This window comes from Homo sapiens, chromosome 7, assembly GCF_000001405.40.
Source record: "Homo sapiens chromosome 7, GRCh38.p14 Primary Assembly".
In the NCBI taxonomy this organism is placed as follows: domain Eukaryota; kingdom Metazoa; phylum Chordata; class Mammalia; order Primates; family Hominidae; genus Homo; species Homo sapiens.
Window position 1 is genome coordinate 83,409,676 of NC_000007.14, and position 20,601 is coordinate 83,430,276.

The 20,601-nt window shown below is 33.4% G+C and overlaps 1 protein-coding gene across 2 annotated transcripts in view; it reads right to left on the reverse strand.

Annotated features, from left to right (window-relative positions):
- SEMA3E (semaphorin 3E) overlaps window positions 1–20,601 on the reverse strand; it is a 285,902-nt gene that overhangs the window by 46,438 nt on the left and 218,863 nt on the right. For both annotated transcript variants that reach the window (NM_012431.3, NM_001178129.2), the window contains exon 5: window positions 8,715–8,808. In NM_012431.3, coding sequence (NP_036563.1) covers window positions 8,715–8,808 — 94 coding nt within the window. The remainder of the gene's footprint in view (window positions 1–8,714; window positions 8,809–20,601) is intronic.

The window sequence follows — 20,601 nt, forward strand, 5'->3', positions numbered from 1 at the left end:
AATTAGGATTATTAAAGTTGCAGGTATAAGAATTTGACCAAATATATAAACAGAATTTAAAAGATATTGAATACTTTATTTATAAATTTTATTTATTAGAACTTTAAAAATTGTTTAATTATTTATGAAGGACTTTTTTCCCAAGGTAAGGTCTTTAAAGCTTTGGAAAACTTCAGAAGTGTAAGCATTTTTGTATGATTTAACATTTGAGAAAATGATCAATTAAATTATATATAAGACAAATTAAAAGGAAGTTTATTTTCAACTTGCATTAACTATTAATATTTTAAAGGTAAAGATGATTGCTTTTGTTATACCAAATTTAGAATAATATGATATAAATTAAACTCAAAGATTAAAAAAATAAGCTTTAGAAGTACTACTATAATAGTCTTTTTCATTTTAAAAAGATAAATAATTCTAATTAGTTTTTCTCTGTTCACAAAATCCTCTATGGATGCCTAAAACACTCTATGAGATACAAATAAATACAATCTATGGTTTCCAAAAAAGAATTCATTTTAAAATTATATATTCTAAATGAGAGAGGAAAAAGTAAATGTGTCAGAGTGTTAACAATTGGTGAATCAAGGTAAATGGTATACAGGTGTTAATTTTAGTTTTACTTCAAATTTCTTTGTATTTGAAAATTTTCAAGATCACAGAGTTTTTAAAAAGATATATTTGTTGAGTTCTTCTAGTATATTCAACTTACGCTAAGTGAGAGGTATGATGTAAGGAAAATAACAAAAACTAAATGACTATTTAAATCTGGACTTAACAATATATAATTTGGTAGAGAAAAGTTATGTTAGAACTCTTAAGCATATCATGTTATTTGATAATAGAAAGGGAAAAGATTAACATAATTTTTTATCAAAGTCATTTAATTAGTGCTGTCTTTCCCAGAAATTTTATGTCTATGTTTGAAGAAGTAGTATTTTGAGACCAAATGCATAAATGCATTCAGTGGTTAGGAATATGACCTGTTACCTGGAATTCAGTCTGCATTATTTGAACATGGATAAAAGAGAGTCATTAAAAGGACTTTGGAATCATCAACTCTATGGCATAAACAACCAAGTTGACACTTAAAAAAATTGACTATTAACACATGAGTGAGGATTTCTCTGAAATATTTTTGTTTTTAATTATTATAGTTGAGTTATGTTTACCACACCAAATATAAAGACCAGCTTGTTAAATGGTTGAAAATATAATTTATTTCGCTACTGTGGGCTGGTCTGAATCTTTAATGTATAATGGGAATGAAGATTAGATTTCTTTAAAATCATGAGTTTTCTATTCTTTACATTTTTAATATTTGATTTTATATCTTAAAGTATTTTAGACTTTGATAATTGAAAATATTTTTATGGGAAAATAATATTTATATTAGTACACTTCGATTTTAATGGATTTATCCTAATTTGGAACATTGTTTCAAAATTATCGTTTTAACCAATGCTATAAAATTAACAAACAAGTATTCCTTGGAGCCACTAGGTGGCAGCCCTATGATGCTAGATAATACCATATTCAGAGACAATTCTCTGCACAAGAGAAAAAATAATGTATTCTCAATGTTACCCAGTTTCCCATTTTGCACTCAGGACAGAGAAAATTGTGAGCAATTCCCATAACACAATATGAACTGTATGACTTGAATTTCAAAGACACTATATAGGTGCTAAAAACTGTAAGCAACGTAAATAGAAACAAATGTGTTTCTGTTGGAAATGTTAGGTTTTCCTCAGAAGGGAGAGATATTCCTTTCATATCTTCATATCAATGCAAATTTAAAAAAATTCATAGTAATTGATAATAATTATGTTTAGCAAAATACTTTCCTAAGAAAATTAGAAAAGAAAGACAACACATTAGTGAAAAATAAATAATAATATTAATAAAACCTTAGGTAAAATAATACCTAATAGTAATTAAGTAAGCAAAAATACTGGGCATTATTAAAATTTTTAATACAATTTGTAGGAAATACATAGTCTCTAATTAAATTTATTATAACTATTTGGTATCAGAAAAGTTGTGAATCAATACATTGATCTTTTACAGAATGCAAAAATAACATCTAGATAAATCATATTTTCATGGATTAAAATAGGAAAACATTTTATAAAAAGATTAAAATACCTTTTAGGGCTTCAGTTATAACAGAAGAACTATCTAAGGATTTAGTTTTCTATGTCTATGGAGATGGGCGAGTTTAACAACTTCTCACACTCAACAATAGTCTTTATATAGAGAAGAAAGAATAGTAGAAATAGTTCTGCAGTGGAAATCTGGCAAGCCAAGTCTCTAGCTCAAAATCTGCTGTTTGACCACCACAAACTGCTCAAAATCTCAAGGTCTCAGTTATCTGCAGAATCAAAGAGACTGCCATGTAATTCTCGGAAACTGCCAAGCTTTTATGTTCTCTCTGCTCTTTGGCCTAGAATTCCACACCTCTCTTCTCACTTCACCTTCCTTTTGCCTGGTTATTGTCCGCTTTTTCCATGACACCTTGTCTGGCCAAACTTTTTTAGTGTAGTGGTTCCTAGTGCCACTGTAGCTCTGGTACCTATTTCTATCCTACTGCTCATCCAACTATATTTTTATTGACTCCTTGTGTGTTTGAAATGATGCCTCATTAATGTCTGAAATACAAAAAATGCTCAATAAATATCTGTTGAATCAAAGAATGGCTTAATGAGTTCATAATTAAATATATCAGAAGTTCCTTTCAGGGTTTAAAAAAGGTTATGAAAGGCTGTGAAGTGTCAACAATCAGGGCCAGGTGCAGTGATTCTCGCCTGTAATCCCAGCACTTTGTGCAGCCCAGGCCGGAGGATCGCTTGAGTTCAGATGTTCAAGATCAGCCTGGGCAACATAAAGAGACCCCCATCTCTACAAATAATAATAATAATGATAAATAATAAAGTAGCTGGGCATGGGGGCCTACACCTGTGGTCCCAGCTACTCAGGAGGCTGAGGTGGGAGAATCTCTTGAGCCAGGCAGGTAGAGGCTGCAGTGAACTATGATTGTGCTACTGCACTCCAGCCGAGCCAGACCCTGCCTAAAAAAAGATAAAAAAAAAAAAAAAAACACACAGGATAAGATCTTAACTTTTAAAAACTGTTTCAGAGAGAAAATATCAAACGAAAGAAAAGGCTATTGGGAATTTACGTGGATAACAAATTTGAATTTTTGTTCCTTGAGGGCCTTACGTTATTAATTTTAATAGATTAAAACAGGAACTCTATTTTTTTCAAAAATTGATCCCCAAGAATTTCAGCCCAAAGGACATTATATTGTGATTAAAAGAGTGTGTCAACACTAAATTGCTTATGTGAAAGAAAATAAGACAATCATTTGACTCTTTGAAATAGATAAAAACACATTCTTTATATTAATTCTAAAATGTGTAACTAAAATACTTTTCTATATAACTCCTTTTTTTTACAATGTGAACTCTAGTTGAAGTTTTAATTAAATCCATTGCATTGCCTTAATATTTTATGGAACGTATCAAGAGTTTTGTTCATGGACTATATATTATCTGAGTTTTTATTTACCATGTTGGATTTTAATTGTATAACAAGAAAAATTCACAGTAGTGTTTCATGACCTTCTTATCTTGTTAAGTTTTACTCAAGCATTGCTTCTGTTTATGTTATAAATGTATGTTATGCAAATCTAAATAATGTGAAACATATTTGCCTCATGGAACAGCATATGGCTAAAGACTGATTTAGCTGCCTCACTTTATAACTGAATTTTATAATTTTGTTAGAACATTATTCTATTGTGGATGGACTGTTTTGCAGAATCACTATGACATGCATAGCTACAAAGAGAAACAAAATGCACTTGGGAGGATGAGGATGGATGAAAATGACTCACATATTTCAACATCCCGGTTCACACTCACATTCTGCTTAGGATGCTGAAAGAAACCAGGAAGAATGTGAGATTCTGAATGTGTGATTTTATTAGGCATTTAGCTGTTGTTTGGGCTTTCGGTTTATTTTGGTTTGGGAAGATGATTAGCACTAGCTCTCAATGTTAAGAAGGTGGTTTTGAGGCATGAAGGAACAATAAAAATATCTTTTGAATCTGTTTATTTGTGTGTGCCAGCACCCATGGCTGTACTCTTGAGTTTTCTTGGTGGCAAACCAATGATATTGATACCATGAGGGTTAAAACAGATTCTCAAAGGAGAGAATATAAGTGGGGAATTGAAGAGTGGGGCTTTTTTCTTAGTCCTTTACCTCTTTTCGTTGTGACGGAACCATAAGTAAAGTATTCAAATAGCTCCTCAGAGACTAGCAGTCATGGCCAGAAGCTACAATAAGCATGTGGATAATGGGCATTCTGCCAAGTGAGAGAGAGAGCGAGCAGCAGCATTGGATAAGAAATTATAGATATTCTTTAGGGACAGGAAAGTGGTAAGGGAATAACCTGAAGTCTATGTTTCTATATAGTTGAGGTGAATTCAAAACACGAGGCAACACATTTGCTTATTATGTTTGTAGAACTTACCATTATAAAGACAAATATTCTAACTTCATTTATAATTTTTTCATTTATTTTTCTAATAAATGACCTTACTTTGTGCCAGTTTATTCCCTGAATGCAAATATAGTTAATTAAAAATAAACAATTATTTATTTAAAATGTTTTAATATTATTAACAACTTGAAACAATAACTTAAATTTTCTCTGCATGCATTCTAACTCCCATTCATTCAATTGACATTGACTTTTAATTTACAAAATTCATAATAAGGATATATATTCACAAAGGTATTATTATTATGGATAAAAGCTCAGTCAGGAAGAGGATTTCAGTGGCTGTAAACTTTGTAGTTTTATTTGCTGAAAAAAGTAATAGAAAAAAAGTGTAGGAAAAATTCATGGACTATAAAATGTCTTATTAGTGATTATTTGTTAAAATAAAATTCATGGACTATAAAATATCTTATTAGTGATTATTTGTTAAAATAAAATTTAGTGTGCATTTACTTTGAAAAGCATCCCTAAAAATACTCCAACAACAAAGTTAATCCTTTCAAAGCAAAGTTTCAAAAGGTACATGACAAATCAGGGTGTTTTTTTCCCCAAACTCTAGCTACATGTGTCTTATCATACCTTAGGCATTTCAGTAATGGTAGGATTAAATTATACCTGGAATTGGTAATACAACTATGGGTCAGAATAAAATTTAAAAATAAAAATGGCTATAGAATTAAAAGGAGAAACTATGGGGGACTGTAACGTTACTGAAGATATTATCAACTTAATTAGAATATTGCAATAGTATGTCAAATATAACTGATAAAAAGAGTCAGCAAAAATATTTGCTTCTTGGCCAAAATGACACATGACATAAAGAACACTGTTTCCTGGATTTTTATTTGGCCACTTACCAAACTTAATAATTTAGTAGCAAGATAATTACTAAGTATATTTGGATGATTTGAAAGGCATGGATACGCAATGCAGCAATTCATTATACTGAAAAATTTATTGTTTCAACAAGCTGCTTTTAAAATCAAGTTGTAATGCCTTGTCTTCCTCAGACAGTTACTTAAAACCACTTCAAATACAGTAGGAGTAATCACACTGGAGGAAAACTTGGCCAAACATGCAGAAATATGGCACCTGAGATATGAGCTGATATGCTACCAATATAAATTGTGTTACTACAAAGACGCATTGGAAGAGCAAGCCTATTTAATATATGATTTCATTTTGATTAGTTTCTGAATATATATGACATAGTTCAGTTAGAAGCTTGTTTTTACTCCTTAAATCCTTTGTCGCATAGAATTATTACAAGCTATCAAGTTTTCATTTCTAAGTTAGATTATAAATGAAATAAAAATGTGCTTTATAACTTGTCTTTCATCTATCAAATAAGCTTTAATATTTATTCAATTTTTTATTAACCTCTTCTTCGTATGAACTTAAGTCAACTGAATTTAAGTTAACTGAATTAAAATTGTATCTAAAATTAGGAAATTACATAGAAAATTCTCTAATTTGCAAGCACCATTTTTTTTTAGGTCAAGCAGCTTTATGAGTATGCTACCAGTTTCAGTGTTTTATCATTAAATTTGTCTTCATGTGAACAGACATTAAACATTGTGTGACATATAATTAACCATGAAACTAAGAAGTAGCAATAATCTAACGATAGTCATCTTTTTGCTGGAGGCTTGTCTTAACCCATCAGCAGAGAACATGTGTGGTCACAAAATACCCATTAATACATTCTTTCACAGTCAGAGTAAGTTCTACCGAGCTTGCCAAATTCCAACTCAGGTAGCTTCATTTTTCCAGCCCACATTCCTGCTGCTTTTTCAATTGGGTGAATTATTTTCACTTCCTCTCTTTTAAAGAGTTTCTGGCTCACATAGGTTATCAGGTTTCCATCCAGTGGCTGCTGCATTTCCACAGTGAGTGAATGATCTCTCCAAGGTACTTTGGGATGAAAGTGAGTGGATAAATGTGAAGAATTATATTTTTATTTCTTCTCTTTGGAGGGATTATTCTATAACTTTTGTGTTTAGCTTGGAGGGCTCCTTTGATTTGATTTCTCTTCGAAATAAGCGAAACAGCCACCCAGATGGCAAGCACTTCAGATTTCAGCATAGTGTAATTTGATTTGGAGGTTCAATGAAACTCACTTAGAAATGTCCCTCCAGTAATATTTCCCCTCTTAGAAATTTAACTTTTAAATTCTTGGCTTCATGCAGAAACAAACTCCTAGGGAGGCTGAGTAGTGAGTGGCAAGGTGGTCATAGAAATTATTATTAACTCTTTAAATGAAATGTTAAAAAATAATTTGCCTTCTAATATTCTCAGGATTTCACTATAGAAGCAGCATATACTGTGTAATTTTTAATTTCCAATTCCCTTTTTATGATTCTTATGAATAATATTCCAAAATTAATTTTGCATTTGTTTAGGAACCTCAGTAAGAATTACATTTAGTATTTATAGGAGACTTAGTCTTTGCAAGATACTATATGGCACAAGAAAGATAAGAAAGTCTCTTTTTTTCAAACATATTAAAATCTTTATGAAGAAAAATTCACTAACAACTTCAGAAAAAGATGGTGTGAGACTATGAGATACATAAATTTTAATGTATATTCTGTCAGTTGCATTGGAATTTCTTGCATTTATGGACCTGGCATCCCCCAAAAGTGTTATTCCTAAGGTTTTGATTTTACCAAGTCTAACCTGACTTAGGCAACCCTTTTCTCATATTTAAAGTCTTCCTTTTTTTAATACTCTGTTTATACACACACACACACACACACACACACACACAGGGAGAGAGAGAGAGAGAGAGAATTGGTAGAGAAACTCAAAATATTTCAAATTAATATTTTCTCTTTAATATTTATTTTTCTCAAATATTGTACCTCTTTATTCAAGCCCCTGAAGAACTTAATTACTATATAATTCTCATTTTATAGCCTTGTCCAATTATGAAGCTGAAGTAAATCAAACTTTTCCCATTAATTAGAGTTAACATGAGGTGTTTGCTCTATAAATACATAGGTTTTAAAAAGCTTTACTTTTTTACACCTGAGAACCAGATGTAGGGAATAGAATGCAAGACCCATCAAAATAAACTGACTTGAATATGTTTAGGGAACACAGATTCTCAAGAATATGCAGTAGCATCTGTATCAACTCTAAATCAAGTATAATATGGTTTAATCATCAGGAGAGAGTTTTAAGTTTTAATCGTTTATTTAGAATGTGAAGTCTCTACATTTTATTCTGTACTCATTTTCTGCAAAGAAGATGACCTAATATTAGCATATAACTCTAAACATTATAAATGTAATAATGCAACCTTGCACATCTGCACCATACATGCATCAGAATCTCTCAACGCTGAGGGAAGAAAATCACTTCCATTAGTACCTATGTCAGTGTTGGGGATTGCTCTTTTTAATTGAAGGCTTAGGAGCTCATTCATCAGTCTTTACTGTCACAGTGCTGAAATAGTTTGCCAAGTTTGCAATTTTTAACCCCAAATTGCAGGAAAATATTACTTAGTTGTGTCTTAAGTGAGATTGTTTGGTACTTTGTCTAATTAAATTAAATCGAATTGAACTCCAGATCCAACTTTATCAACTCATGTCATTATTTCCGTATGTACATTTAGTGATAGGTTGAGCGGATCAACTTCTATAGTTTACATTCTAGATTAACAGAAATTTAGATAAATAAATTTAAGTTCTCAAAAGAGATGAGTTTCTGCTGAATTCTACTAATAACAGAGAAAGATACCATAAAGAATATTAAAAGTTCTCTAAAGTCACAAAATAATTGAAACATGAAGAATTAACACATATATTAAAATAGTTTCATTTCTCTGGCAAAATTTTTATAAAGTCTTCATATAATTGCATTTTATAAGCATCACATGACACCAAATACATGAGATATTAAACGACAATTTGTTTTCTCAGAGTGAGACACACACACTTTATAGCATCTGCACTTATTTTAGAGTCAAATTGCTCAGGTTAACATGGCTTGAAATTTAATATCATTGCTTCGAGCATCAGAAAATAGATATGACAAGGCATAGTATGTAAAGAAATGCTGAAAGAATGTAACTGAAGTTGAAATATATGTTTTAAAATCCTTATGACTACCACCTGATGTCTGTGGCAATGACAATTACCAATTAAAGTGGAGATGAAGGAGGAGCTGGGGTCAAAAGGACATCTGCCCCTTCCTCTCTCAGATCTGGGTGATTCCAGGTGAAACAGAGGATCCTTGAAAGAAAACCAGAAAAATCATTATGAATATGCCTCCTCTAATAATCATTTAATTCCTTAGGTAAAACATATGAAACTTCGATTATTTATAAAGCATGTATTCTAAATAGAGCACCAGTAGCATCAATTTATTTAGAGACAAACTGGGTTTTATAAATAAGCACATGTGTTTTACAGACCCATAAGAGTTCTCTCACTCCTCTGAAAAAGTATGCAGGTGATGAAAGAAAATAGCACTTTTTAAATCATTTTATGAGACTGTATTATTTATTCTGAGATGTGTCAATGAAATATTTGAAAGGAATTGAAACTTGCTGGAAAAAGGTTAATGAAAAGGAGGTTCAATGTTAAAAATGATAGTGGGCTTTTATCAAGCATATCAAGAATGCTGTTGTTGATTTTTTTATAAATTAGATTTTTATTTTTGATATAAGGGGTACATATGCAGGTTTGTTATATGGCCTTATTGTGTGATGCTGAAGTTTGGGGTATAAATTATCCCATTAGCCAGGTAGTGAGCATAGTGTCCAACAGGCATTTTGTCAGCCCCTGCCCCCCTACGTCTCATCCCCCTCCAGTGGTCTCCAGTCTCTATTATTGCCATCTTTATGTCTGCATGTACCTAATATTTAGCTCTCACTTATAAGTGAGAACATGCAGCATTTTGTTTGCTATTCCTGCCTTAATTCACTTAGGATAATGACCTCTACCTACATCAATTTTGCTGAAATGGACATGATTTCATTCTTTTTTATGGCTGTGTAGTATTCCACTGTGTATAAATACCACATTTTCTTTATCCAGTCTAGCATTAATGAGCACTTAGGTTGAATTTATGTCTTTGCTATTGTGAATAATTCTGCAATGAACATATGAGTGAGTTAGTAGAGGAGCTCAAAATATTTCAAACACACATTGTCTTTTTGGTAGAATGATTCATTTTCCTTTGGAAATTTACCCAGTAATTGGGATTGCAGGGTCAAATGGTAATTCTGTTTTAAGTTATTTGAGAAATCTCTAAACTTCTTTCCACAATGGCTGAACTAATGTATACTCCTTCTAAGAGTGTATAAGCTTTCCCTTTTCTCCACAGCCTCTCTGACATCTGTTATTTTTGACTTATTATAATAGCCTTCCTGACTGGTGTGAGATGATACCTCATTGTGGTTTTGATTTTCATTTCTATGATGATTAGTGATATGGAGCATTTTTTAATGTTTTTTGGCTTCCTGTATGTCTTCTTTTTAGAAGTACCTGTTTATATCCTTCGTCCACTCTTTAATGGGGTTATCATGATTAAAACTCTCAACAAACTAGGCATTGAAGGAACATTTGTCAAAATAATAAGTCGTATATGACAAACTCACAAACATCATACTAAATGGACACAAGCTGGAAGCATTCCCCTTAAGAACAAGAAAAAGACAAGGATGCTTACTCTCACCACTCCTATTCCACATAGCACTGGAAGTCTTAGCAACAGCAATCAGGCATCAAAATAGAAAAAGAAGTCAAACGATCTCTCTTCACTGATTGATTCTATACCTAGAAAATTCTAAAGACTGCTGAAAGTCTCCTAGAACAGATAGATGATTTCAATAAAGTTTCAAGATACAAAATCAATGTCTAAAAATCAGCAAAATTTCTATACACATATAGCATTCAAGCTGAGAGCCAAATTAAGAACACAATCTAATTTAAAATACCCACACACAATAAAACCAGAATATCTACAAATACATCTAAGCAAGGAGGTGAAAAATCTCTACAAGGTGAAAGGCCTCTATAAGGAGATACTGCTGCAGAAAATCATATAGATGATACAAACAAATGGAAACACATTCCATTCAGATGGACTGGAAGTATCAATATGGTTAAAATGGCCATACTGCCCAAAGCAATCTACAGATTCATTGCTATCCCTATCAAACTATCAACATCATTTTTCACAGAATTAGAAGAAAACTATTCTAAAATTCATAAGAAACCAAAAAAGAGCCTGAATAGCCAAAGTAATGCTAAGCAAACAACAACAACAACAAAAACAAAGAAAAACTGGAGGCATCACATTATGTAACTTCAAACTATAGTACAAGACTACAGTAAGTATAACAGCTTGGTATTGGTACAAGAGCAGACACATAGACCAATGGAATGAAATAGAAAATCCAGAAATAAAGCTGCATATCTACAGCCATCTGATCTTTGACAAAGTTGACAAAAATAAGCAATGAGGAAAGGACTCCCTATTCAATAATTGGCACTGGGATTGCTGGCTAGCCATACGCAGAAGAATGAAATGGGGCTCCTACTTTTGCCATATACAAAAATTAACTCAATATGGATTAAAGATTTAAATATAAGACCTCTAACTATAAGAATCCTAGAAGAAAACCTAGGATATACTCTTCTTGATATTAGCCTTAGCAAAGAGTTTTTGACTTAGTCCTCAAAAGCAATTGCAACAAAAACAAAAACTGACAAGTGGGACCTAATTAAAGAGCTTCTGCACAGCAGGAACTATCAACAGAGTAAACAGACAACTTACAGAATGTGAGAAAATATTTGCCAGCTATCATCCAACAAAGGTTTAATATCCAGAGTGTATAAGGAACTTAACTCAAAAAGTATTACTGATTTTTTTAATAGTTTGGAAAAGAATAACAAAATGTACTCTCAATAATTTGGAATATTTATTTTCAATTTTATTCTTCATCACATAGTATTTGTATAAACATTCAATGTTTAATAACATAGAATAATGCATAAGTACTGTAAATATTTATCAACAAATGCCATATTATGTACAATATTTCAATTTTAATATAAGGCTTCACACAGATAATGAAAATTAATATTTTCATGAAAAACTACTTTATTGGCTCCTATTTCAAGCATATAACCATAGAACTTATCCCTTAATGTTTCCAGGTTTCAAAATTCTCATTAAAGGTTGTTTTGTATAATTAATCTCCATTAAGTATACTACAAGTGGTGTGGGTAAAAAAAGTAGTTTAGAAAAGTGACAATAAAAATCAATATTGAAAAACTTGTATAAAAAACTAATTTAAAATAGAACATCATGATATTGCTCAATTTGGCAACTATGTACAACCCTGCTCATCTGTGAACCACAAACCTATAAACAATCTTGAAAGTCCAGAGTAACCTCTGAGAGTTGAGGGCACTTCTCTCAAACTTGATCTTAACTTTGCTAGTCATCTGATTTACCCACATTATCTGTTCTGTCTTTGTCTTGCTATTCTTATTTAGCACCCTTTTCTCTTTCTCTGTGATATCCTAAAATCACATCCTGATCCTGCCGTTTTGAAAACTTTTCAGTAAATGCTGAGTTCACCCAACCACTACTACCATCCAGTCTTATCCTTGGATTTAAAACATAGCCTAGTGCCGGGCACGGTGGCTCACGCCTGTAATCCCAGCACTTTGGGAGGCCGAGGAAGGCACATCACCTGAGGTTGGGAGTTCGAGACCAGCCTGACCAAAATGAAGAAATCCAGTCTCTACTAAAAATACAAAATTAGCCAGGCATTGTGGCGCATGCCTGTAATCCCAGCTACTTGGGAGGCTGAGACAGGAGAATCGCTTGAACCTGGGAGGTGGAGGTTATGGTGAGCTGAGATCGTGCCATTGCACTCCAGACTGGGCAACAAGAGTGAAACTGTCTCAAAAATAAACAAATTAAAAATAATGATAATAAAACATAGCCTATAGAACAAATGTGGCCTCCTGACCCAAAGGTGTGGCTAAACTTATATTCTAAGCCAAAAAAGTTTTACCTTTATAGCTACTATACACCAATTTGAAGAAAGCATGAATGGCAGTAGAGAGATGTTTTGTGTTTACTTCCTGCAGATGGCAGTTTGCAATGACATGAGAATAAGTTTGTCCAAATGAGAAAAAATTATAGATCTGCCCAGCTAACACTTTCACTGAAGAAGTTTCACCAAAATTTGCAAAACAGACCCACATCATTTCATGGAGGAGGAAATGACCAAGTATATGAATATAATACTTGTTTGCCCCTTTAGTCATTGCCACTTTATACAATATAGATAGTAGATCAGGGATATACATATTATATTTGTTTTACTATAGTCAAACATCAGCGTCATGGAAAGCTGACAGTGATACTAGGCTGCTTTCAAAAATCAACGTTTTCTGTAGCTTAATTCAGTTTTTGATGTCTAATGACTGATGAGGTTGTTTTATCTAATGGGTATAATTAGACACCTTATATAGTAAAATTGAAACTGCAAGAGCAATACAAGTACATTGCGTATTTATTCAAATAATTTTAATACATTCGTTTAAACTGTCAAATGCGTGAAGCAAATAGAAAATGAAAACTGAAAGAATTTTAAGATCAAGAGAAACCCAGAGTTTGTAGAACCTCAGGCATAGATGAATAAAATGCAGTCACAATTTCATAGAAAAGTTACAGGTTTTCATGACTAGAAATCATAATATAGGTTCTTGAGGCTATATTTGACTAGTGAATTTTAGCCTGTGACTGTGGTATTAAGTATCTTACATACCAGTGTGTTCAACTCTCAGAAGAAGTTGATTGAGTCGACAAGAAACAATATGCACCAAGAAACCTGCCATGCTAACATTTTGAAAACAATCAAATGGCACCCAGAATCATCCTGAAATTTTTAGTTATGTAGGAGACACAAATCTGTGCAATACGTAAATCTACCTTAGTCTGTGAAAGGATATATTCTTTTATAAAAATCTCAAGTTTGACAATGAGCATACTTGAGCCTTGAATATTGAATGTGCATGCATTCTCAGAGATGTATGTATGTCTAAGGTCAAAACTCAGATGTACCTTGACTAAACCCTCCTTTCTCACTTTTCTCCAGAAGACTTCAAATACCTATCTCACATTTATTTGATTAATGGCTAAAACTAAGTCAACAAGTAATCATTTTAAAATAATAAACAGGTTAAATTAAACTCTTCTGGTTTGCTTTCTGCATCACTATGAAGAATTTTTTTTTTTTTTTTTGAGACAGAGTCTCGCTCTGTCGCCCAGGCTGGAGTGCAGTGGCACCATCTCGGCTCACTGCAAGCTCTGCCTCCCGGGTTCATGCCATTCTCCTGCCTCAGCCTCCCGAGTAGCTGGGACTACAGACGCCCACCACCACGCCCGGCTAATTTTTTTTTTTTTTGTACTTTTAGTAGAGACAGAGTTTCACCATGTTAGCCAGGATGGTCCCGATCTCCTGACCTCGTGATCCCCCTGCCTTGGCCTCCCAAAGTGCTGGGATTACAGGCATGAGCCACTGCACCCAGCCTCGATTTTAAAAATAGGGTACAGTGTATACTGCTCAGGTGATGGGTGCATCAAAATCTCACAGATCACCACTAATAACTTACTCATGTAACCAAATACCACCTGTACTCCAATAACCTGTGGAAAAATAAACTAAAAATACAAAAAATAAAATGTATGTTTTTTGCAGATTATAATTTATTAGCCCATTAATTTTTTTAATAATGTAAGCTATTGGAACATCACTGCAGTAGAAAAGTACCATTCTCTTTATGTAAAAAGGAGAAGAAAGGTCCACATCTTTGGAGGATACATTCATTTTATCAGTGCATAACAATAGATGGTTAATAATGCCCCAGGAGTCAAATAACACAAAAAGGGTAGACAACGTCAGATTAGATTGTAGTTTGGGATACTTCTCAAGTTTGAAGAATATTGTAATGTGTATTTTGAAGACTATAATATTTGTAACAAAATAATGAAGAGGTGCTTTGAACACATGAAAGCACTATAATTCCTCTGTCTAATCACTTTGCACAGGTATTCTTCGACCCTGTCCTGAAACTTGATTGTTAGATTAACATTTAAATTACTACAGTATGATGTCATTACATACCACAGAGAGCTCCATTTGGAAAGGTCATTTTAATTAGAGATAATATGAATACTAAAACTACATCTCCGGCCTACTCACATCTTTCCATCATGTCTTCTAAAATCCTTCTTTCTTGGTAATTAAATCCCTAACAACAAACTCAATTTGCAAGAAGCTTCCAAAATCTCTTTACCTTAATTGAATAATTGTTTCCACAACAGGCATAATAACGGAGCCTCAAAGATGTCATTGTCATAATCCTGGAACCTGTGAATATGTTACCTTACATGGCAAAAGGGACTTTACACATGTGATCAAGTGAAAGACCTTGAGGAGGGGAAACTACCCTGACTTATCCAGGTAGATCCAATATAATCACATGGGTCTTTAAGAGATAAGATGTTTTGATAAAAGCAGAAAGCCAACCGGGATGATGCAGTGCGAGAAAAACTAGATCCAGAAATGCTTGCTTTGAAGATGGAGGAATGGGGCCCTGACCTACAGAGATGCCTACTCAGGAGGTGCTGTCAGCCTCTACCATGTGTGGGAGGGTAGCTGGATCCCAGTCTCCAGTGACAATGTAGCTGATCTACATGACAAGTATAGTGGATCTATCCCTTGAAGGAGGGTGGATGTGACTGCTTGCATTTTGGGGGTAACTGTCATTGGTAATACGGATCAGTGCTCCATCCAGGTATAGTGGAGGGGTCTTCAACTGTATCAGTACTTTTTTAAAGCTCTGGAACTTTGACCTCTATGGGTTACCAGTTGTTAATGAGCTATTGCAGAGGTGTCTGTTTTACTTTCTTGAATGTTAACATTATACTATTCAATACTTGAAAAAAAAAATGTTTTCTGTATGCCACAAACTAAGCCTGGAACTAGAAACACAGCAATAAACAAAGCCCCAAACTATTGTTCTATTTTCTTCATAAAATTACCCCAAATATACTTTTCTCTCCTATTTTTAGTGTTCCTTTCTTCAATATTTGACACTGTTACCTGCTTTCTGGCACTTACTTATTTTGCTTCTTTACCACTTATCACCTTGATTTTAACACCAGCCTCCTGAACAGTCTCTGAGTCCCAGCCATCAATTCTGTACTCTGCTGCAAAGAGTCCTTTCTGAATTGTGAATTTTTTCTCATCCTCTGGTTAAAAATCATTCATTGACTACCCATAGCCTCCAGAATAAGTTATTAAGTCCCTATAATTTTATATAAGGGATTTTATATGTACTTAGGTAATTATTCACATTTTTATCTCTAAAATGCTGCTTTTATAGCCTGTGTGCCAGTCATTCTGAACTTCTTTTGCCTGGATATCATTCTGAATATCTCTTTCTGGGACCTAAACAAGTCGGACCTAAATAAAATAGTTTCTGCACAGCAAGAGCAACTATCAACAGAGTATGGACAACCTGCAGAATGGGAGAAAATATTCACAATCTATGCATCCAACAAAGGTTTAATATCCAGAATCTATAAGGAACTTAATTCAAAAGCAAAAAACAACCCCATTAAAAAGTGGGAGAAAGACATGAACAAATTCTTTCATACATACAAGTAGCCAACAACCATATGAAAAAAAGCTCCACATCACTAATCATCAGAGAAATGCAAATCAAAACCACAATGAGATACCATCTCACACCAGTCAGAATGGCTATTATTAAAAAGTCAATAAATAATAGGTGCTGGTGAGGTTGCAGAGAAAAGGGAACACATACACTGCCAGTGGGAATTTGTTTAAATTAGTTCAGCCACTGTAGAAATCAGTTTAGAGATTTCTCAAAAAACTTAAATCAGAATTATCATTCAACCCAGCAATCCCGTTACTAGGTATATGCCCAAAGGAAAATAAATCATTCTACCAATAAGACACATGCATTTGTATGTTCATTGCAGCATTATTCACCATAGCAAAGACATGGAATCAACATAGGTGCCCATCAACAGTGGATTGGATAAAGAAAATGTGATACATATACACCATGGAATACCACACAGTCATAAAAATAAAATAATTCCTTAGCAGAAACATTAATGCAGCTGGAGGCCATTATCCTAAGCAAATTAATGTAAGAACAGGAAACCAAATGTCACATGTTCTCACTTATAGAACAATAGACATTGAGAATCACTAGAGGGAGTGAGGGAGGCAAGGGTTGAAAAACTAACCTTTGGGGACTATTCTCAGTACCTGGCGATGGGATTAATCAAGACCCAAAACCCCAGTACATATACACATGTAACAAACCTGCACATGTACTCCCGACTCTAAAACAAAAGCTGAAATTATTAAAAACATACAAAAACGTTGTTGCAGATAGGTAGGTTTACTCTAGAGCATTTGTAAAAATTATTATGCTACGTTGTACATGCTTCCTTGGGACTGCCTAGATAGTAAAATCATGCTTCTATTTTTTTCCATATTTTGATTGCCATTGGCTTTAGTAAAACTGATTAGATTAGTAGAACAACTAATCTAGTTGTTCTAGACACATTCTTAATTTCTTCAGACACCCAATAAATACATTATTGTATTAATCTATACTTTTATGATTTATGATGGACTCTTGCTAGGATTAATATATTAAAGTTTCTGTTTAACATAACATAGTGTGACATGACACTTATTAAAAAAGAAATCAAAGATTGAAATATAAAAATGTTTATTTTATCCCCAAAGACCTTGTTAGTGACAGCATGTAATTTGAAGGTAACGTGAAGATGCAACAAGGAGGTACAATAATTTGCTAACTAAGGATTCCCTTTTCCCATATGACTTTTCTTTCTTCCTTCCTTCCTTTCCTTCTTTTTTTCTTTTTTCTTTCTTTCTTTCCTTCCTTTCTCTTTCTTTTTCTTCAATACTGAATAGAAGCAAAACCTGAGCTTTTCATTTTTATCAAATTACTGACTCGATGGTAGTTTTCAATAATTTCATTGATCTTTTGTTCCATGGTTTTAGAGCTGAGGCTTTCTTTCCCTTGTGAAGCTACACATGACAGGAAGATATATTGATCCAATTTATCTTAATTCCTCATGTCTCAGTACAATATTTTTGCAACTTTATGCAACTGAGATGTGGAAATTTTTTAAAGCAGAAAAAAGGAAGAAAATTTACCATAGACTACATAGTATTGATATTATGAGGGAAAGCAGGCAGTTTTCAAACCTTTATTTATTTGCTTTGCATAGATCAAGCTAACTTCAATATTAGCTATATATTCCAGAAGGAAACTTCTCACGTTATTTTGAGAGTTCATTGTGGTCTTAAACGCAGTGTTTCATGTAGTGCACAACCCAATAAAATACTAAAAAGCCAGTGATAAAATTCTCTTCCATAAAGTAGAATTCAGCAACCAAATCAACCAGAAAACTTGAGCCATGATGACATTTTCAGTGACCCCAAAGCAATCGCCTTTATGGTTCAAGCAATGTGTAATGTTGGTGTTTAACCCTATTGAGAATGTTGGTCACGACTTACACTGGCTTTCTATTATCTCTGTTTTAACAGCTGGAATTTCTGCCTGAGTAGTGTGTTTTAAATTTAAAAGGCATTCCCAGCATTAACATGTGGGCTGCATTTTCTGTTTCAATGTGATATGGAGAAATTTTTCAATGGCTTCTCTTGTGCTTGAAAGTAACCACTAATGTGGGCAGATACATGTGTCTGTCAGAAAAAAGTGTCTCTAAAATATAAATGGTAGATCTCTCCAGGGGAGTTTTCCTCTTTGGGCCTTGAGGGATGCCCTCAGAACCCAGAATGTCTGTGGTAAGCTCTTTTCGACAGGTGTGAGTCATTGCACAGCAGGTGCCACATGTGATGCCAACTCAATAAAATGAGTTTCCCATTTGTAAATCAGCTTCATGAACTAATACTCTTTTGCTTGTCTTCAGTGCCATAGGGATATTCTGAAATATGCTAGAAGTCAACTAGAATATTATAAGTACTACAGGACAAAACAAACAATCATTTATTTTATTAGCTATTTCTAGTGATTAGGAAAAATAGTAAAATACACAATGTTCATTACATATATTTCTGCCAACAATGGAAAATAGGTGAAAGTGCAGTATTGTTACACAATGTCTCAAATAAATAAACATAATATGCAGTTTAATTCTTTAAATAATAGCTACATGATAATGTGTATAACAAATTAATTCTGAATGTGATTCACTCTACCATATCTTTTTTGTTTCTCCTGCCAAGCAATAAAAATATTTATTAAAGGATATTTGAAACCTTTCCCAAAGACTAAATAAACAAGCAGAAAAAATACAAAACAGGAGTAAAATAGCAAGTAAATATTTTGACTGTAAGGCTAATAGTTTTGCATTTTAATTGCGTTTTAACATTTTTTTCTCTAAAAAAGTAATATATTTGTATCATACATTAAAATTTAGGAAATACTTTTGCATGTATTTATCTTGTTTCATCCTCACGGTAAACCTGTGAAGTAAACAGGGTCAATAATATTTTCCACAAATATTATTTTCTTTTTAGAGGTGAGGAATCAGAGGCAGGGTGAGGCTTGGCAAGTCTCAGTGTCTTCTAACTAACAATTCCATATTCATTTGCAGTTTTACCCACTTTACTTATTGTAGTTGGAGAGGAGTATATGTGTTTGCGTTGTTAGGTGTGGTTGAATGTCATTTATAAGGTACTTAATGCATAATCAAGGCCCAAAAATATATATTAAGATTTTTTTCAAAAAAATCTTATTTTATCAAATTGCATTTTCAAACGTTTGTAAGTCCTTTAATACCATTGGAATAGCTGGCAGATGTTATTAGCATTTTTTAATAATTCAGCACATAAATATAATACATGTAAGTAAACTCAATTGTCTTATTCCTAAAACTTTTAATAAATATTTGCTTGAAGCTATATTTGAAGGCAAAATTCTGTTTTCACTTCCCTTGTGTATCCTCTAATTATTACGTCAGGATTCCATTCTCTTCCTCACCCTAAGTGACCTAACTTTATGCCAATATTACAACTCCCACACTCACCCTCTCAAACTCTTTAATTCCACATTGACAGCTCTGCCTACTGGCTAGGTATGCCACGGTGTCCTAGAGTATTTGAAGCAAATATCCTTCAAACCTTATGTTTTTCTGAAGCCTGCTTTTACTGGAAAAACATCATTTGCTGCCTATGTCATCCTCACCAACTTTTCAAATATGATCATGCCAGCCTCCTTTTCAAAAACCCTGCAGTGCTTTTGTTTTTGAAGGAAGTCTAACCTCAAGAATGGGCAGCTCAGGCCCTTCACTGTTTGCCCTCAGGCTTTGTCCCTCATAGTTTCCCCTCCCCTCTCCCTCATCCAATCCACACTCCTGCACAAGTGACTTTCTTTAAAGTTGCATGCATGATAATACTCATAGCTGTTTGATTATTGGGAAGGGGAATTCCATTCGGTTTTTTGCTTATTCGTTTGTTTTCCTACAACATTAACTCCTACTTATCCAAAAGAAAATGCTGTTTAAAAATGACTTTGCTGGAAAAAAAAAATGACTTCACTGATATTCTCTAAGAAATCTCCAATCAAAATTTCTCCCATGGATGATGCTGTATATCTCTTGTAGCATTATTTACATTGTATTGTGATTATGCACTCATGGATAATTTAACAAACACTTAAGAAGCTTATGTTCCAAGCTTACTGTGTTTCAGGTATTCAATCAATATTGAATATAGGAAGTATGATGCATGCTAGTCTTTTTTAAACCCCATGAAAATTGAGAAAATAGACTCTAATTGTCAATTTAACATAGAAAAGCCAAAATGGGCCGGGTACGGTGGCTCATGCTTGTAATCCCAGCACTTTGGGAAGCCGAGGCGGGTGGATCACTTGAGGCCAGGAGTTCAGGACCAGCCTAGT